Raw genomic sequence first — 19,587 nt, forward strand, 5'->3', positions numbered from 1 at the left:
CCTGGTCACACCTGTTCCCTGCTGCTGGGAGGCCATCAACACATCCAAACCCAGCCGTGTCCCCAGCCCCTCCAGAATCCCTTCCTCCAAGAAGCCGCCCTGCCGCTCCAGCCCAGAGCGTTCTCCCACCTCCCACCTCCGCAGGCTGAACATTACGCCTGGGGCTTGACTGCTGGTCCCAGGAGCAGTTCAGGAAGGGCCTGTGGAGCTGATGCCCAGGCGTCAATCCCCATCCCCACGCAGTCTTATAACCGTCTGTCGTCTGTCTGTCCCCCACCTGTTTCTCCTCTCCCTTTTCGTTCCAAAAGTTCCTTCTTATTCTGCAAATCACTTACTTTCCCTCTCAAAGACTCAGGAATGCTTAAAACTGGACTATTGAGACAGAGATCTAATCTGACTCCTGCATTTGAGATGAGATAATGAGGCCCAGATGGTCGGCATAGTTCGAAAACACCCATTTCAGGTGTTTTCAGGAACACCTAACAAATGAAGCAACCGTATCTTAATGAAGAGAGCAGCTGGCCCAGGGTCACGCACCAATTAGGAAGCTGTTGTCCCGGGGGGCCCCACCGGCCGAGCCACCTTGGGGGTGCCCTTTCCCCTCGGGGCCTCCGTACCCTCATCTCTCAAATGAAGGAGAGGTCAGGTGAGCGCCCTGTTAAGACTGACTTTCAGCATTCCCAAGGTCGCGTTTTATGTGCTCTAAACCGATCCCATCTCCTCACCTCCTCATTTCTCGCTCAAATGAACAAGCACGGGCTTGCTACTGGGATTCCTTCTGTCCCTGGACACGTCTTTCTACCCAACATTTTGTTTTTCTTGTTTCCCCACATAGGGAGATAAGGTTGAGGGAACAGGCAAAGGCTCGGGAGGCAGGAGACCTGTGATCTAGCCTGGTTCTGTCCCTACGCTCGGGTCAGCAGGCCGCCCAGGCTGGGGAGGGCGACACTGACCCTCGGGGTGCCGGCCGCCACCTGCTTCACACGGCGTCGTCGCCGGCACGGGTACCTTTCCTGCTGCAGAAGGGGTCGGGGCGCCCCACCTGACACTTGGGGGAGGCTGTGCCAAGGACAGGGCGCGTAGGGCACAGGTGCCCCGGCTGCGCCCCCCTCCGCCTCCGACCCCTGGGCCCCGCTCCAACGACCCCAACCACGGCCCCCGCCCCCAGGCCCCGCTCCACCGACCGCGGGCCGCGCTCACTCGCTGGGCCTTCTCCCACAGCTGGTTCAACTTCTCCATGCGGAACTCCTCTCCGGACTCGCGTTTCGGGGACGGCTTGGGCTGGTTCTTCTCCCGCGAGTACTTGCCGCCGTGGCTCGCAGCGGGCCAGGGCCCGAGGAAGAGCAGCAGCAGTAGCAGCGCCGGGAGCCCGCGCAGAAACGACCTGACCCTCCGCGGCGCCATCTTCCTCTGCGACTGGCGCTGCGCGGAGAAAACCTAGCCTGCCGATGCCCCGCCCACTACCCCGCCCCCACCCACCGCGCGGTCTCCTGGGAATTGTAGTTCCTCCGTGAGCGGCCGGCAGCGGCGAGGCCGCCGGCGGACTCCAGCGCCTAGGAAGCCCTGCGCAGGCGCAAGCGTTTCCCAGGCAACCACGCCGCGGCCCGAGGCTGCAGACTCTGGCAGGGGATACAACTGGAGAATGAGGGTGGCCGGGTGGGAGCAGGGATCAGGCCTCACCCAGAGCCCGGAGCCTGGAGCCCGCACGACTCGAGGCCTCTTTCCCTCTCTGCCCCACAGAAAGAGCGGAAAGCCCAAGAACCGGGCCGCGTTTGGCTGAGCCTGATAATGCTCCGGCTTCACGCGCACTGACGCCGACTCTTGCATGTCCAGTGCCGTTGCGGGGTTGGCACTGCGGCCCGGGCCTGGCGCTGAGGAGCCTGGCCCAGCCCGCTTCTGCCCTCCGCGGAGCGCCTGGCCGTGGGTAAGCCCAGGCCAGGTTGTCCCGGGGACGCAGGGCCGCGCAGACGTCCCCCTACGTCCCGGGGCCCCTGCCCCAACCCGCGTCCCAAGCGCCTGCTCTCGCGCCTGCTGCAAGGCAGGACTTCGCGCGCTTTTCCCCAACCCATGACACTCTAGGAAATTCACAGAGCCAAAGTTAGCATAGACCGCTCGTTGGGGGCTTGGCCAGTGAGTTGGGAAGTGCCCTGGAGGTAGCGCGGGAAACAAGGGGAAGGAGGGAGACAGACAGCAGCTGGGCCCCTTTGGGCTCAGAGAAGGGACAAGGGGAGCTCATCTGGCAAGAATGATCTGAAAAGGCCTCCAAGGGTGGGCGGGATTTTGCGGGGGGAGGGAGGAATTTCCAACTGGAGGGACAATGACAAAGGGGGTGAATAGAGCCTGGGCATCTTGAGAGGAATTAATGTTAATTCATTTCCTTTTTTTGCGTGGGGGGATAGGGTCTCTGTCATCGAGGCTGGAGTGCAGTGGCATGATCATGGCTCACTGCAGCCTCGACCTCCTGGGCTAAAGCGATCCTCCTGCCTCAGCCTCCCAAGTAGCTGGAACTATAGGTGCGTGTCACCACGCCCAGCTAATTTTTGAAATTTTTTGGTAGAAATTAGGTCTCCCTATGTTGTCCAGGCTGTTCTCCAACTCCTGGGCTCAAGCAACCCTCCCGTCTTGGTCCCCCAAAGTGCTGGGATTACAGGCGTGGGCCACTGGGCCTACCCTAATTTACATTTAAATTGTATCTTGTGTTGTTCCAGAGAAGATTTCAGGTCCCTGGAATCAAGGTGATCTGCTTCTGTCCTGTGCTGCTTTTCTAGTATTTTCAGAGCCATCGTTTCATTTCTTTTTTTCCAGCTGTTGAGTTGTTTCAGGCAAGAGGGTAAATTCAGTCTGTTACTGCATCTTAGCTGGAAGCACAAGTTCCCAATATGGGATGTATGGGGGAGAGGAGGTAAAGGAATCCCCCAGGAGGGTGGTGGAGGGAGAATGACCTCATGCGAAGTGACTCCAGAGACAGATCAAATGCTGTCATTGCCATCATTGCATGTTTTTAAGCCTCAGGACAGAATGGCCAGGTGAGCCTGGCCTAGATTCTCACCTGTGCCTGCCTTCCCCTTGTGTTCCCTCGTTCCTGCTCTTCTCTCCATCTCCTGGTGCCTAGAATCAGAGGTCACCTGTTTTACCCCACATACATGTTTTGCCCTGACCCCACTCCTGAGAGCTACAGGTAGGTCTTGGTGGGCTTAGAAGGGGATAGTCCAAATTGGCCTATCCCCCCCAAGCATGTCCCTGTTGGTCATCTGGAATGTGGTCCTAACTGCAAATGTTCCAGCTCTGTGAATCCTGCCCCCAGTGTCTCTAGAAAGGCCCGTTATAAACCCACAGGAATTGGAAGCTGGACTGGGAGCAGAGTCTTCTGGGATCCTGCATCTGACAGTGGTGTGGGGTTCTAAGAGCCCTTTTCCTATACAGCCCGGTTTCCCAGATAACTAAGCAATATTTTATTCGTGGCTGCATACACAGGCAATGAAACTAAAGAAAGTCAGGGGATGGCTAAAGGATGGAGGATACCTGGGCTGGGGGAGGAGGGAGAATGCGACGGGTGAACACAGACAGGCTTCCAAAGTGGTGTCCAGGTTGTAGTTCTTCACTAGGTGGTGGGCACACAGGCATGCATTTTTCCTTATCTTTAAATTGTACATATTTCATACACTTCTCCGTATGTATTATACATTTCAAACTAGTACATCTTCTAAAAAATCACAGTGGTTAATGCAATCAGTACAGGTGCCAGGCACATACCAGAGACTCCAGGTGACGGCATGCTCTCCTCTTGGGCTCCTCCTCTAGGGCTGAAAGTTTATTTCTCACCCCTGCCGCCAGCACCCGCCATGCCAGCCCGTGTCTCTAAGTGCTGAGGGGAAGGTGTATGAACAGAGACAGATACGGCCGTGGAGGAACCCGGAGGGAGGGCCCTCCACTTGGTGAGGACGGATTGTGAGGCTGGTCAGTGCTGAAGCTGAGTATCTTGCTTACGAGAGAAAAGGGGAACTGTGCTTATAGGACCATCTCTCAGAGCAAAACAAATTGAGTCTCTTGGGAAGCCTGGCATTGAGGATTGTCCAGCTTTCAGAAGTGAGAGTGTTCAGCCTGACTTCAGGGGCACAAGGTTCTTGCTGCCTGGGCCTGTTCTGTAGTGTGGGGCTGTCCCTGACTGGCCGGCTTTCAGAAGCATGCAGCATTGTCATTGACTTATTGGGGTTTCATGCCACCACGGCCAAAAAGCAGTTTGTTTTTGTCCTTGAGTTTGGACTATAGATTGTTATTCTCTCCAGGCAAAGGCAGGAAGCACACGGGAACAGGTAGCGCCAGGTGGCTGCAGGCAGGTGGTCTGGCTGGAGCTCAGTGCAGAAGCACAAGACGGTGGTGAAGAGTGAGGCAGACCCAGGGGACTGAAACGCCACTGGAAGGAAGATTCCACCCAGAGCAATGGGGGCCACAGAGTGATCCTGAGGGGAGAGTTACACAGAGATGCGTTTGAGGAAAAGCAGAGACCAGTGGGAATGCTGGTGCTCTCCGCCAGAGGAGAGGCGAAGGTGATCGGGATGAGATAGAGACACGGAGGCAGTGAAGATGGAGAGGCCATGTGAAGGTGGAAGGGACAGAATTTGGTGACAAGCGTCCAGACTGACGCCCAGGTTTCCACTTGGGGAGACCAGAAGGTGGCAGGGCGAATTCCAATGCCAGGTCTCCAGGGAGAGCACGCTCAGGAGGAAGATGAGAGTCCGGGTCCCTGTGGGATGGACGTGGAGCCCTCCAGGGGCACTGAACTCTATAGATCTGCCAGTCAGGGGCAGAGGGGTCCAGGGCAGAGGAGACAGAGATCTGGGCACCACCCACGAAGGCACAGTGGGCAGGGGATGGAGCCCTCTGGAGGGAGCCAGCGCAAGGGTGCGAGAAGGAGCTTGCAAAGGAAGCAGAGCGGCAGCCAGGACAAGGGAAGGTGCCCGCGAGGAATTTGCCTGTAGACCCCAGGGTTGAGTAGGCTTTAAGGAGGAGCACATGGGCAGCGTTGGGCCGCTCACAGACTGAACGCACAGAGGCTGGTGTAGATGCCTGTGGCCTCTGCCCTTGCAACAACCTCTGTCTTGGGTCAGGTTTCCTGGAAGCAGAGCTGAGATGGAATTCCTGTGGAGGTGATTATGGAGGGGTGCTCCTAGGAAAGGAGAGTGGGGGTAGAGAGCCGGTGCAGAGAGCTGAGCAAGGCTGTGACTGCTTCAGCCTGGTTGGATGAAGGGGAGCTCGGGAGCACTGCACCTCACGGCTGTCCCTGCCTTGAGGCCAGGACCATTTTGTGTCTCCTCTCCCTCCCCTCATCAATCAGGCACTGGGTTGTGGGGGAGGGTGTGACCTTCTGGGTGAGGCAGTTTTCCCACTTGGCCTAGGGCAATGAGCCTCCGCTATCCTCAGGCAGCCACCATTGCCTGAAGACAAGTGAGACCCCATGTGCTTGGGCAAAACCAACCCCTTCCCAGCTCCCAGCATTCAGGGAGGGTCTTTGAGTAAGACACCCTCAGCTGCCTCCTCTGCTGGCAAACTCCCTGTCACTGCTTTCCCCACTGTCTGCCACTGTAGACCCCAGGATGAAGCTCATTATGCTGCTTCTCCCTCTGTATGGAAAGTTCGAGTCCCCCCAGGCCACCCCTTGCCCCAGACAGCTCTGTAAATCCCCTTCTCAGACCCCTTCCCCCATCCCCAGTTCCCTCAAACCCTTCCACTCTCGAGCTCCTGACCAGCCATGAGCAACGTCCCCCATATCCTAAACTTTTTGTAAACCAAAAATAAAATTCTGAGGGCCCCCCAGCCATCTGAATGGACTTCCTCCTCTGCCAGGGCACTCTTTTTTTTTTTTTTTTTTTTTTTTAACTTCTTAAATGCACAAATTTATTTTTTCTCAACAAACACACATCTTAATGCCTTTACAACTTTTATCTCCCCAAATATATCTTGCTTTTCTTTATACATGCTGTATACAGAGTTGTTTTCCTTATATTTAGTAGTTATTGCTTTTTTGTGCCCTTTTGGGTCCTGAATTTACACATCAGGCATAGATCTTGGGACAGGAAAGAGCTGTGAAGCAAATTCCTGGAAGATCAAACCCCTTCCAGCATGGCCAGGTAGCACAGCTGAGCCAGGGATGATGGGGCCATATTGGGTTTGGCTCTGCCTTGCAGCTGGCAGTCCAATCACTGAGGACATGCATATTTCTGCAGGCCTCACTATGGTCATCTGTCCAAACCCCAGAATCCAGAGACTCAAAACGAAATACAGTCATACAGTAAGATATGTGCAAGGTTTCAGGGAGCCCAGCAGCCAGACCTTACAGCTTTAGCTCAATTTAGACAAATCAAGCAAGTTTAAGAAATATTCCAGAAGTAGCAGTTTTATGACCTTAAAACATGTAATAGGCTGGGCACGGTGGCCCATGCCTGTAATCCCAGCACTTTGGGAGGCCAAGGTGGGCAGATCAATTGAGGTCAGGAGTTCGAGACCAGCCTGGCCAACATGGTGAAATCCTGTTTCTACTGCAAATACAACAATTAGCCAAGTATGGTGGCATACACATGTAGTTTAGCTATTCGGAAGGCTGAGGCAGGAGAATCACTTGAACCTGGGAGACGGAAGTTGTGGTGAGCTGAGATCTCACCACTGCACTCCAGCCTGGGCAATGAGAGCAAAACTCCAGCTCAAAAACAAAAAACAAATTTAAAAAAAAAAAAAAAGAAAAAGAAAAGTAATAGAGACGATGTAAACCTGTCTGTCAGTAGACCCAGGCAAAAACAATTATATTTAACTGACAATCCTGAAGCCTTTCCAACTTTCTTTTTTTTTTTTTTTTTTTTTTTTTTTTTATTGATCATTCTTGGGTGTTTCTCGCAGAGGGGGATTTGGCAGGGTCACAGGACAATAGTGGAGGGAAGGTCAGCAGATAAGTGAACAAAGGTCTCTGGTTTTCCTAGGCAGAGGACCCTGCGGCCTTCCGCAGTGTTTGTGTCCCTGGGTACTTGAGATTAGGGAGTGGTGATGACTCTTAACGAGCATGCTGCCTTCAAGCATCTGTTTAACAAAGCACATCTTGCACCACCCTTAATCCATTCAACCCTGAGGGGACACAGCACATGTTTCAGAGAGCACAGGGTTGGGGGTAAGGTCACAGATCAACAGGATCCCAAGGCAGAAGAATTTTTCTTAGTGCAGAACAAAATGAAAAGTCTCCCATGTCTACCTCTTTCTACACAGACATGGCAACCATCCGATTTCTCAATCTTTTCCCCACCTTTCCCCCCTTTCTATTCCACAAAACCGCCATTGTCATCATGGCCCGTTCTCAATGAGCTGTTGAGTACACCTCCCAGACGGGGTGGTGGCCGGGCAGATGGGCTCCTCACTTCCCAGTAGGGGCGGCTGGGCAGAGGTGCCCCTCACCTCCTGGACAGGGTGGCTGGCCGGGCGGGGGGCTGACCCCCCCGCCTCCCTCCCGGACGCGGTGGCTGGCCGGGTGGGGGGCTGACCTCCCCGCCTCCCTCCCGGATGGGGCAGCTGGCCGGGTGGGGGGCTGACCCCCCCACCTCCCTCCCGGATGGGGCAGCTGGCCGGGCAGAGGGGCTCCTCTCTTCCCAGTAGGGGCGGCTGGGCAGAGGTGCCCCTCACCTCCTGGACGGGGCAGCTGGCCGGGCAGAGGGGCTCCTCATTTCCCAGTAGGGGCAGCCAGGCAGAGGCGCCCCTCACCTCCCAGATGGGGCGGCTGGCTGGGCGGGGTGCTGGCCCCCCCGCCTCCCTCCCGGACAGGGCGGCTGGCCGGGCGGGGGGCTGACCTCCCCGCCTCCCTCCCGGATGGGGCGGCTGGCCGGGCCAGGGGCTGACTCCCCCACCTCCCTCCCGGATGGGGCAGCTGGCCAGGCAGAGGGGCTCCTCTCTTCCCAGTAGGGGCGGCTGGGCAGAGGCGCCCCTCACCTCCCAGACGGGGCAGCTGGCTGGGCGGGGGGCTGACCCCCCCACCTCCTTCCCGGACGGGGCGGCTGGCCGGGCAGAGGGACTCCTCACTTCCCAGTAGGGGCGGCCGGGCAGAGACGCTCCTCACATCCCAGACAGGGCGGCAGGGCAGAGGAGCTCCCCACATCTCAGACGATGGGCGGCCTGGCAGAGACGCTCCTCACTTCCTAGATGGGATGGCGGCCGGGCAGTGACGCTCCTCACTTTCCAGGCTGGGCGGCCAGGCAGAGAGGCTCCTCACATCCCAGACGATGGGCGGCCAGGCAGAGACGCTCCTCACTTCCCAGACGGGGTGGCGGCCGGGCAGAGGCTGCAATCTCGGCACTTTGCGGGGCCAAGGCAGGCAGCTGGGAAGTGGAGGTTGTAGCGAGCGGAGATCACGCCACTGCACTCCAGCCTGGGCACCATTGAGCACTGAGTGAACGCGACTCCGTCTGCCATCCCGGCACCTCGGGAGGCCGAGGCTGGTGGATCACTTGCGGTTAGGAGCTGGAGACCAGCCCGGCCAACACAGCGAAACCCCGTCTCCACCAAAAAAATACGAAAACCAGTCAGGCGTGGCGGCGCGCGCCTGCAATCGCAGGCACTCGTCAGGCTGAGGCAGGAGAATCAGGCAGGGAGGTTGCAGTGAGCCGAGATGGCAGCAGTACAGTCCAGCTTTGGCTCAGCATCAGGGGGAGACCGTGGAAAGAGGCAGAGGGAGACCGTGGGGAGAGGGAGACCGTGGGGAGAGGGAGAGGGAGAGGGAGAGGAGGGAGAGGGAGAGGGAGAGGGAGAGGAGGGAGAGGGAGAGGAGGGAGAGGGAGAGGAGGAGCCTTTCCAATTTTCTTTCCCCAGGGCACTCTTAAAATGTAATCTGAAAGACTGGTTCAGGCCATGATGGGAAGTGGGGATCGGACTTGCATGATTATCGCTCCAGCATTAACATCAACACACTTTAGTCTGATAAGAAATATTTTACAGTCTATTCTCTCTGAAGCCTGCCACCTGAAGGCTTCCTCTGCAAATAAGAACTTTGGTTTCCACAATCCTTTATCTTAACCCAAACATTTTCTTTCTATTGATCCCAGGTCTTTAAATCAACTCAACCAATTGTCACCCAGAAAATTTTTAAATCTGCCTATAGCCTGGAAGTCCCCCCCCCACCCCCCGCCTTCTAGCTCTCTTGCTTTTCTGAACCAATTTATTTCTTAAATGTATTAGATTGAGGTCTCATGTCTCCCTAAAATGTGTAAAATGAAGTTGCACCCTGACCACCTTGGACATATGTTCTCAGGACCTCCCGGGGGCTGCATCATGGGCCATGATCACTCAGGTTTGGTTCAGAATAACTCTCTTCAAATATTTTACAGAGTTTGACTCTTTTTTGTCGACACTTTGAGCATCCCCTTGACTGTGCTGTAACTGGAGATGGACACCCGCTTGCCCCTCAAGGACCGCATCGCTCTCCAGCACTCCTCCTCCTCTTATAACTTTTGGTGATTTCCGTTTCCAGGGGGTGATCCCTGCAAAACCCTGGCCTGCTCTCCTTTCATGGTCTTGACCTCAAAACTACCCCAGCCCTCCTCTCCCATGGCCACACCCTAGATATTGTGGCCCATAACCATAAAGTCTTCTCTCTCCACGAAGACAATTCCGAGTGGCCAACCAGCAGCAGGAGTATTGCCATCTTGGACAAGCACTGCCATTTTAAGTTCACCCTGATCAAAAACCGCCTAAATCCAAAGGGCATCAGCCTAATGGCTAAGGTCAGCATGACCAAAAACCACAAATAACATCTCAGACCAGAAACATTCCAAACCCCTCCCTCACCAGAGGCATGCCAGCCCCGAGATAACCTCCCCTCCGGCCAGAGATATGTCAGCCCCAAGGCTGCGTTTTGTGTTTCTTTCCTCTTTCTTTAACACTTACACTCCTGATTGTGTCCAGCTGACTTCTGCAGTGCCTCACCTAAACATTCCTTCAATGGCTGGGCTTACACTCCACTGATCCCTCCACATTTTCACTGTGGTCACCCCTCTGTCCTCCCTCCCCCCTCCCAGGTATTATGGTGGGCACCAAACATTCTCAGCAGCATATGCCAGTTCCTCCAAGTCTTCTCTTCATTAGACCAACATCCCCAGGCCCCCAGTTTTCCCCAACAGGATATGGACCACAGATCAGCCATGTCCTAGCATCTTCACCTGGTGCTTCTATCCATGTCTTCTTGTCCCTGGAAAGCATGTTCTCTGAGAGCAGAGATTGTGTTTCCTGCATCTCTGTCTCCTGTTGCCCAGCACAGAATTGGTGCTCAATGAAGATTTGTCCATCCAGATGAAGAATGGATGGGTGGCTGGATGGGTAGGCAGATGGATGATGAGTGGGTAGATGGGTAGGTGGATGGGTGGGGACAGATGGATGGATGGAGATAGATGGATGATGAGTGGATGGATGGATGAGTGGGGGGATAGATGGATGGGGATGGATGGATAATGAATGAATTGGTAAGTGGATGGGTGGGTGGATGGATGGATGGGTGGATGGGTGGTTGAGTGGGTGGATGGATGGATGGGAATAGATGGATGCTGAATGGGTGGGTGGGTTGATGGATGGATGGGGATAGATGGATGATGAATGGATGGGTGGGTGGGTGGATAGATGGATAATGAATGCATTGGTAGGTGGATGGGTGGATGGATGGATGGGTAGATGGGGTGGATAGATGGATGGGTAGATGGGGTGGATGGATGGATGGGTAAGTGGATGGATGGATGGGAATAGATGATGAATGGATGAGTGGGTGGATGGGTAGATGGATGGGGATGGATTGATAATGAATGAATTGATAGGTGGGTGGGTGGGTGGATGGATGGATGGGTGGATGGATGGATGGGTAGGTGGATGGGTAGATGGGGATAGATGGATGATGAATGGATGAGTGGGTGGGTGGATGGATGGAGAGGGATTGATAATGAATGAATTGATAGGTGGATGAGTGGGTGGATGGATGGATGGATGGGGATGGATGGATAATATAAGAATTGGTAGGTGAATGGATGGATGGGGTAGATGGATAATGAATGGATTGGTAGGTGGATGGATAATGAATGGATTGATAGGTAGATACATGGATGGATGGACAGGGATGAATGGATAATGAATGGATTGGTAGGTGGATAGATGGATGAGTGGATAGATGGATCGATAATGATTGATGAATGGATGGATGGGGATGGATGGATAGATAAATGGATTGGTAGGTGAATGGACAAATGGATGGATGGATGAGTGGGTAGCTGGATGGGGAATGAGTGGGTAGGTGGGAGAATGGATGACGGATGGATGGATGGATGGATGGATGGATGGATGGGGATGGATGGATAGATAAATGGATTGGTAGGTGAATGGACAAATGGATGGATGGATGAGTGGGTAGCTGGATGGGGAATGAGTGGGTAGGTGGGAGAATGGATGATGGATGGATGGATGGATGGATGGATGGGGATGGATGGATAGATAAATGGATTGGTAGGTGAATGGACAAATGGATGGATGGATGAGTGGGTAGCTGGATGGGGAATGAGTGGGTAGGTGGGAGAATGGATGATGGATGGATGGATGGATGGATGGATGGGGATGGATGGATAGATAAATGGATTGGTAGGTGAATGGACAAATGGATGGATGGATGAGTGGGTAGCTGGATGGGGAATGAGTGGGTAGGTGGGAGAATGGATGATGGATGGATGGATGGATGGATGGATGGATGGGGATGGATGGATAGATAAATGGATTGGTAGGTGAATGGACAAATGGATGGATGGATGAGTGGGTAGCTGGATGGGGAATGAGTGGGTAGGTGGGAGAATGGATGATGGATGGATGGATGGATGGATGGATGGATGGGGATGGATGGATAGATAAATGGATTGGTAGGTGAATGGACAAATGGATGGATGGATGAGTGGGTAGCTGGATGGGGAATGAGTGGGTAGGTGGGAGAATGGATGATGGATGGATGGATGGATGGATGGATGGAGGGATGGATGATGGATGGATGGATGGATGCATGATGAATTTCTCCCTTGTTCCCAGCCTAGTCCTAGAATATGTTGCCTCTTCTCAAAAATAAGGTACCACAAAGCCTCTGGTGATGGTGGAGCAAAGGAATAGATGGTGAATATCTCATACCCACTTCGGATCCAGAACAGGCCTAGGAGAGACTCAGGTGGGATCTGCTGCTGAGGAAGGGGGTTGGGGCTGAGGTTGGAGGAGGAGGGCAGCTCTAAACCACCTCTTCCTGGCTCTAGGCCTCTCAGGCCAGACAGCCCCCACCCGTTTCTGCAGATGCCCGCATCATGGTCCTGAGGGGATGGGGGCTGGCCTGTAGCCTTTCCCCCGTGGTGTGTGGCTATAGCGGGGACATGAAGGGGGTGTGTTGGGGACGTAGTGACCACTCCCTTCTACCATCAGAGATCCTGCTTCCCCCTGCCCCCTGCCCCTCCTCGGCTGCCCTTCATAACCCCCCACCCACTCCCCACCTGCCATCTCCTGTGCTTGTGTGGATCCAGGAAGCACCTACCTGGGTACAGAGATCATTGCTCGGTGCCTCGCCCCTACACAAGGGCGATTAACTTGTCTGTTATGAACTCCTACTTAGTAATTCCGACATGAAACTCCCACTAGGATAAAACTTGGCGCAGAACAGCAATTACTGAAAACACATTTTTAAAAAGGTTGACGTTTTGTAAGAGTTCATCCTCCTCCACTCCTCAGCCTCCCTCAAGGAGACACATATTTAGATCTTCTCTCTGTGAGTCTAACTTGGAGACTGTGAGTTGCAGTTTAAAAGGGGCTCTGGGGCCAGGTGCGGTGGCACACACTTGTGGTCTCAGCTACTCAAGAGGCCGAGATGTGAGGAACGCTTGAGCCCAGGAGTTCAAGACCAGCCTGAGCAACATAGGGAGATGGGATCTACCAAAAACATTTAACAATAAGGCTGGCATGGTGGCATATGCCTGTGGTCCCAGCTACTTGGAGGCTGAGGCAGGAGAATCATTTAAGCCTGGGAGATCGAGGCTGCAGTGAGGTATGGTTTCAACTGCTGTGCTCCAGCCTGGGAGACAGGGCAATACTCTGTCTCTAAAAAATAAAAAATAAAAATAAAAAAATAAAGAGCTCTGAGCCCAGCCCTCTGGCCAGGGCCTGGTGCAGTGGCAGAGGCTTAGGTCCCTGGCAGGTCTCCTGAAACGTCTCCAGGGTCTGCTGGGGCAGCCACCTGGGCGCTCAGTTGCTCTGTGAAACAGCAAAATTCCCAAGTCCTCATCTCAATGAGCCACTGAGGCCGATGAAGAGGGCCTGTCTCATTTAGGACGTGAGTGGCCAGGCGGGTGCCACAGGCCCTTTTCCTGGTGACAACAGTGCTGTTGCATGGCTCCAGGAAGGCCACATCATTTCCCGGGCTTCGTAGGCACCTGCGGGGCGGAAACAGTTCAGCAGGGCCCTCCTGATCACAAGGATGAGGTCATACCGGCTGCTGCACGGCAGGGCTGCACTCTGCCATGGAGCGTCCTGTGAGGGAGGGGCTGCACTGCCACTTTACTGATGAGGAAATTAAGGTTCAGAGAGATGAGGTCATTTGTTAGAGGCCAGACAGCCTCCTCAGCCCATTTCTAAGGTTGTTTCTGTGGTATTTGCCATAAAGCCATAGGTTCATTGATTTGTTCTTAAGTAGTTCTGAGTCCTTCCTGCATATCAGGCAGGGACAAACGGGAAAGTCCCTGCCCTTGGCAAGTGCGGGGGAAATGAAATGATTCTGCTCAGCCTCATCCATTGGTCTGAACAATCACGTCTCATGACCCCAGGGACACGGCTTCCCCTGAACGCGGATCCTAGAGGCCAGGCAGAAGCAGCATGGGTTTCCACTCACACGGTAGGTGGCTGTGCGATTTCGTCTGGAGTCCCCGGACCCCTCCTCATCCTTCCCAGGGTTGCTCTGAGGCCATTCCTCGTCATCTAGGAGGGGTCTACATAAAAGCATTTATAAACAGCTCCAAATGGGAGCCTGGCGCGCCCACCTTTGGAGCACTTTTCTCTACTGCAGATTTATCTACTGCTCGTGAAATCTCTGGATTTAACTGTGATGAAAGACCGGAGGCTGAAGGAGAACTTCAATATCATATATTTTAAAGGTTGACTCACAGTTTGGAACAAGAATTAAAGAACCACGAACTTCAAGGTAAAACGGGCAATGGCGTTGGGGCAAGCCTCTCTGCATCTGTGTGTCCAGCCTCTCCTGCGTGCCAGAAGTCCCCAGGCAGGAGTGTGGTGGGACATCCGGCTGGGGTAAGGACAGGCACCCTCCCACTGTGTCAGGGCCCAGAGAGTGGGTGGAGAAGCTCTGCAAGAGACCTGTGCAAGGGCGCCTTGTAGGAGCCTGCCGTCCCCACAGGGGTGTTTGTGGATAACACTTGGGGAGCCCTGGCCTTTTGGGGTCACGGAGGGCTTGGCCTCTCACCTCAGAGCTGCAGAGGAGACGCTTCTACATCAGGACATCAGAAGCTGGAACGGGGATGGCCGGCGAGGGGCCTCTTGTTGGGGTCACAGAGATGGGTCGCAGAGATGGCCTGTGTGGAAGGTTGGATTCTCACCCCACCTCTGCCCCTAGATGTCCTGGTGACCCTCCCCTCTGTAGTCTTGGTTTTTTGCAAAACACTTATGACCTCCTGCCATACTGGGTACTTTGCTTATGTATTGTGTTTACTCTTTACTGTGTGTCTCTCCTGCTAAGGTCTACGAAGAAGGGTCTTTGTGGGTGGGGTTCTTAGAGGCATCCCAAGTACCAGAAGCAGTCCCTGGACTAAGGGGCTCAAGAAATATTTTTTATTTATTATTTTTTCTTTTTGAGATGCAGTCTCTCTCTCTTGCCCAGGCTGGAGTACAGTGGCACAATCTTGGCTCACTGCAGCCTTCGCCTCCTGGGTTCAAGTGATTTCAGGCTAATTTTTGTATTTTTAGTAGAGACGGGGTTTCACCATGTTGGCCAGGCTGGTCACGAACTCCTGACCTCAAGTGATCCACCCGCCTCAGCCTCCCAGCGTGCTGGGATTATAGACATGAGCCACCATGCCTGGCCAAATATTTGTCAAATTGAATTTGTATTTCCATACAAATTTTAGTCTGGATGAAGTGCTTCATGCCTGTAATCCAAGCACTTTGAGAGGCTGAGGCGGGCAGATGGCTTGAGCCCAGGAGTTTGAGACCAGCCTGGAAAACATAGAGAAACCCCGTCTCAATATAAGAAGAAGAAGAAAAAGAAAAAAAAAAAATCAAAAACGAAAACAACACAAATTTTAGAGTAAGTATTTTAAGTTCCACAAAAACCTGGTTAGGATTTGGATAGCAATTTCTTTAGTTCTACAAATCAATTTGGAAAAAATTAATTAATTTGGGAAGAATTCATTTTGAGTCTTCTAATCCATGAACATGGTATCTCCATTTGTTTAGACCATCTTTAATGCCTGCTAATAACATTTCTGTATAGTGACCTTGTACATTATTCTTAGATTCTTGATATTTTGTGCTATTATGTCTTTTTATAAATTTTATTTTTCCAACATTGTTGCTAATATATAGTAAGAAAATGGAATGTTGCCTATGGATTTTGAACCCAACAACTTTGCTAAACTCCTCTGAATCCTCAGAATTTCCCTGTGGATTATGTAGACTCTTCTGCATACACAACCATATCATCTGTGAATAAAGACAGTTTTGTTTTCTTCTTCACAAACTTTACCCAACTCACTGTGCAGTCTGCCACATCCAGGCTGATATTGAATAGCAGCGGCACCAATAGGTGTCTTTGTCCCCTTGCCAATCTTGTAAAGAAAGCTTTCAACATTTTCCTGTTAGCTGTGTTGGCAGCTCTGACTTTTTCCATAGATGGCCTTCATCAGCTTAACAACGGGTCTTTTCTTCCCAGAGGGCTGAGCTTTTCCTTAAGAACAGACAGTGAGTGTCATCAAACACTCGGCTGCATCTGTTGAGATGGTCATACGACTTGTGTCTTTTCCTGTGTTTGTGTATGAACTCTCTCTGGGTGTCTGAGAGTTCTTGTGACTTTCACAGAAGAACACAATTTACCCTCCCGTGTGGGAAGGGGAAGGAGGCAGAGGAAGAAAGACCCCAAGTCCCCCTCATCCCCACTGACCTTCCTGCTGGCTTCGTCCTTGATTTGTGCCTCCTTAGATCCTGCGTTTGACTACTTGCGGTCATGATGACAGGGCCAACCTCCTGACCAGGGCTGTTGGCACCTCCCCTCCTGCCCAGAGCCCCTGCTCCAAACCACTTCATTCATCTTCTGTACCCCCAGCCAATATTTCCCTGCCCAGTGTCAACCCAGGCCCAGAACCAGACCACAAGGGACAGCCCCGGAACCCAGAATCAGACAAATCAGCCCGTCCCAAGCTGTCTCCCCTGCTCTGCCCGGCTTTCCCAGGAAGCCAACAGAGGCTGTGGCTTGGCCTTTCCCTCGCTCCTTTCTGCCTCCTGGTCTGCCTGCGGCTTCCCCCTGCCGCCCTGCGGGGCCTGCCATGTCTCTCATTTCTAGCGAATGTTTCCAGAGCGATGTTAGACTTTCCTTTCAATAGCGCTGACCTCTGTTAGGCACCTTTATGGATTAAGACCTGGGCATAGATGGTTTCTTCGGCATCACGACCTGAAGGTGCTTGGGAGAGACGGTGAGGAGGAGAATGCACCCTGCCATGCTCTGCACTGCACATGGATGCAGATTTTACCATGTTGGCCAGGCTGGTCTGAAACACACGGAGCCCAAGCGCCCGGTGGACTCTCTGACGGTCCTCGGGCGTGTGCCATTGTAAGCAGAGTATTCAGCTCTCATCAGGGCCTCGCCAGAGCAGAAATGGTCTGTTGATAAATGCATCGTATACAATTATAAATGTGCACCCAGCATTGCTGCTTCCTCTTTTTTTTTGATATAGGGACTTGCTCTGTCGCCCAGGCTGCAGCGCAGTAGGGCAGTCACAGCTCACTGCAGCCTCAACCTCCCAGGCTCAAGCAATCCTTCCACCTCAGCCTCCTGAGTAGCTGGAACTACACATCCAGCTATTTTTTTTTTTTTTTTGGTAGACACAGGATCTCACCATGTTGGCCAGGCTGGTCTTAAACTCCTGCGCTCAAGTGATCCGCCCACCTTGGGCTCCCAAAGTACTGGCATTACAGGTGGGAGCCACTATGCCTGGCCTGCTTCCTTTCGCAAACAGGAATCTTGTAAATAGAATTGATCAGAACTTGTTGTTTAATGTACACAGACCTCTAGCTGTACTGCAAAGCTGTGTGCACATGTGTTAAGTCATCTGTTCTATGTGTTCTAATTATAAATAAGAAAAAACAAATTTCAATCAGCCATGCTGGAGGAAGAGCAATTATGTTTCTATTCCTTCTATCGTAGGTGATGTAAAATTCTCAAACAATGAGATAGATAAAAAGTACGCAGCCAAAAAGTGCAGGAAGAAGTGTTATGGAGATGGAGCAGGCCCTTCGTAAAAACACGATGTTGGTTTTCTGGATTTTGTATGTTTGCTTTTTTTTTTTCCTCATCCTAAAGAAATATTCACTGTCATACCTAATTTTGTTTTTGTAAGTTTGTATTCTTTTCTTTATAGGGAGGCCTCACAAAACCTGGATCAGACTCGCCCACTGCCCTGTGTCTGCCCTCCCGACCCCCTCTCCTGCCCAGCAGGGATGTGGGTGGCAGTGGTGCTGTGTGGAGGGTGGCGGGAGGACCGGGAAGACTGCGACCAGTGAGCCGGGAGGCCTTGGGACAGCCTCTCTCTGAATCATCCTGTGCACTGCCGGGTGTGACAGAGGCTCCTAGAGTCCTGCCTCAGATGGCCGCCTTCAGAGAGGGAGTCACTGACGTCCCTGCTCAGCGCAGCCCTGGCATGTGGGGGTCCCTCTACTCATGAGAAACCCCCACCCAATCACCGTGAGGTGTGTGACCCATGCTCACATCCAGGGGCCACTCATTCATTCAGGAAACATTGGCCGAGCCCTCAGCAGGGGGCGGTGCTGGATGCCGGGATGTAGAGAGTGCCAGCCCCGAGGGCAGCCCAGGGTGCCCCAGTGGTGAGGAGCCCTGGTGTGGAGTGCAGGGTTCGTTTGGACCACGGCTGTGGAGGCCTAGAGGAGCTCCCGCCATCAGGATGGCCGGGCATCAGGGCTCTTTGAGGGGGAAGGAGGCATCAGTGCAGCGGCGGGCAGGGGTTCGACGGGCTGAGTCCTGCGACGTGTTGCATCCACACCAGTGTCTGGGGCCAGCACCACTGCTCAGTCTCTGAACCCACTTATTTCGCCCAATATTGCATGAGTGGGAAGTTCCACCTTCCCCAGTCGGCTGCTTATCTCGTCTTTCCAATGCAGTTAGGAAGGGAAAATATTTTCTCCCCATTTTACAGATGAAGAAATGGGGCCTGGGGAGGAGCAGAGCCCAGAACTGCTGCCCACCACCCTCCCTGCCTGGTGCTTTCCTGGGAACATGTGGGAGCCCCCGCCTTGACCTTGGGACCTCCCATCTGTAATTGCAGGCCCCGGTCTGCCTGTGTGGATGTGGAATGTGTCACTCGGGATCCTGGAGTCCTCCTGAGCTTGTCCAGCAGGGCTGCATTCACTGATGTGCTGACAGAGGCCTAGGCTCGGACCTCTAGGAATATCCAAGGCATCTCATTACGCAGAAAACCACCCTCATGAGGTCCTGGGGGCCTCTCTCCATCTTCCTGGGGGTGATGCAATAGAGTGTAACTTCCAGGCTGCCGAGGCAGGCCATGAGGGGTTGCCCCCGTTGGAGGGGCAGAGTAGTATTTGTGGGGTGGTAGGAATCATTCAATGCCCACCTGCAACCCCCCGGGCTCACAGCACACTCTTAAGGCCAGTGCTACCAGCTCCCTTGGGTGGATAGAGGAGCTACGGCTCAGAAGCATGCCCACAGCTCCCCCAGGACCCTGAGGCCAGCCTGTGGCAGGGCCTGTGATTTGAACCCTTCTACGAGGCTTCAAATCAGTGCTGTTTGTCCTGGCCTCATAAAACCTGGCTGCCCAGTTGGGATTGGTGTCACTTGCCTTGCTGAACTGGGCACTCCTTGGGAAGAGGGTGGGTGCTGCGAGAAGGCGGTGGATCCTGGCTGTGCAACCTTCGCAGGTGGCTGAACCTCTCTGTGCCTCAGTTTGCTCATCTGCAAAGGGGGCTGGGATTCCTGCCTACATGCATGTGCTCAAGAGGGAAAGCCGGCCAGGCATGGTGGCTCATGCCTGTAATCCCAGCACTTTGGGAAGCTGAGGTGGGCGGATCACTTGAGGTCAGGAGTTCAAGACCAGCCTGGCCTAAATGGCAAAACCCCATCTCTACTAAAAAAAAAAAATACAAAAATTAGCTGGACGTGGTGGCAGGTGCCTGTAATCCCAGCTACTGGGGAGGCTGAGGCAGGAGAATCACTTGAATCTGGGAGGCAAAGGTTGCAGTGAGCCGAGATCCCACCATTGCACTCCAGCCTGGGTGACAAGAGTGAAACTCCACCTCAAAATAAATAAA

The 19,587-nt window shown here is 53.4% G+C and overlaps 1 protein-coding gene and 1 long non-coding RNA gene across 3 annotated transcripts in view, besides 3 other annotated features; one reads left to right on the forward strand and one right to left on the reverse strand.

The window, feature by feature from the left end:
* LRPAP1 (LDL receptor related protein associated protein 1) overlaps positions 1–1,414 on the reverse strand; it is a 28,811-nt gene extending 27,397 nt beyond the window's left edge. The window contains exon 1 of one of the 2 annotated variants that reach the window (NR_110005.2): positions 975–1,141. Coding sequence is in view for 1 of the 2 variants with exons in the window: in NM_002337.4 (NP_002328.1) it covers positions 1,201–1,404 (204 nt within the window). In the remaining variant the exon portion in view is untranslated. Of the gene's footprint in view, positions 1–974; positions 1,142–1,200 lie in introns of those variants that run through there. The other variant, NM_002337.4, reaches the window with a different exon arrangement.
* Positions 904–1,153: a silencer, noted in NCBI's record as "silent region_15207". NCBI's record gives its function as "represses an Ori minimal core promoter by ATAC-STARR-seq in GM12878 lymphoblastoid cells {active_cell/tissue: GM12878}" and the evidence as "EXISTENCE:reporter gene assay evidence [ECO:0000049][PMID:35858748]".
* Positions 1,194–1,403: an enhancer, noted in NCBI's record as "active region_21225". NCBI's record gives its function as "activates an Ori minimal core promoter by ATAC-STARR-seq in GM12878 lymphoblastoid cells {active_cell/tissue: GM12878}" and the evidence as "EXISTENCE:reporter gene assay evidence [ECO:0000049][PMID:35858748]".
* Positions 1,594–1,653: a silencer, noted in NCBI's record as "silent region_15208". NCBI's record gives its function as "represses an Ori minimal core promoter by ATAC-STARR-seq in GM12878 lymphoblastoid cells {active_cell/tissue: GM12878}" and the evidence as "EXISTENCE:reporter gene assay evidence [ECO:0000049][PMID:35858748]".
* LOC124900650 (uncharacterized) lies at positions 13,428–17,630 on the forward strand. Its single transcript, XR_007057995.1, has 2 exons — positions 13,428–13,915; positions 14,087–17,630. It is a non-coding gene; the product is annotated as an uncharacterized LOC124900650 (long non-coding RNA).
* Positions 17,631–19,587: the final 1,957 nt, after the last annotated feature.

This window comes from Homo sapiens, chromosome 4 (genome assembly GCF_000001405.40).
Source record: "Homo sapiens chromosome 4, GRCh38.p14 Primary Assembly".
In the NCBI taxonomy this organism is placed as follows: Eukaryota; Metazoa; Chordata; class Mammalia; order Primates; family Hominidae; genus Homo; species Homo sapiens.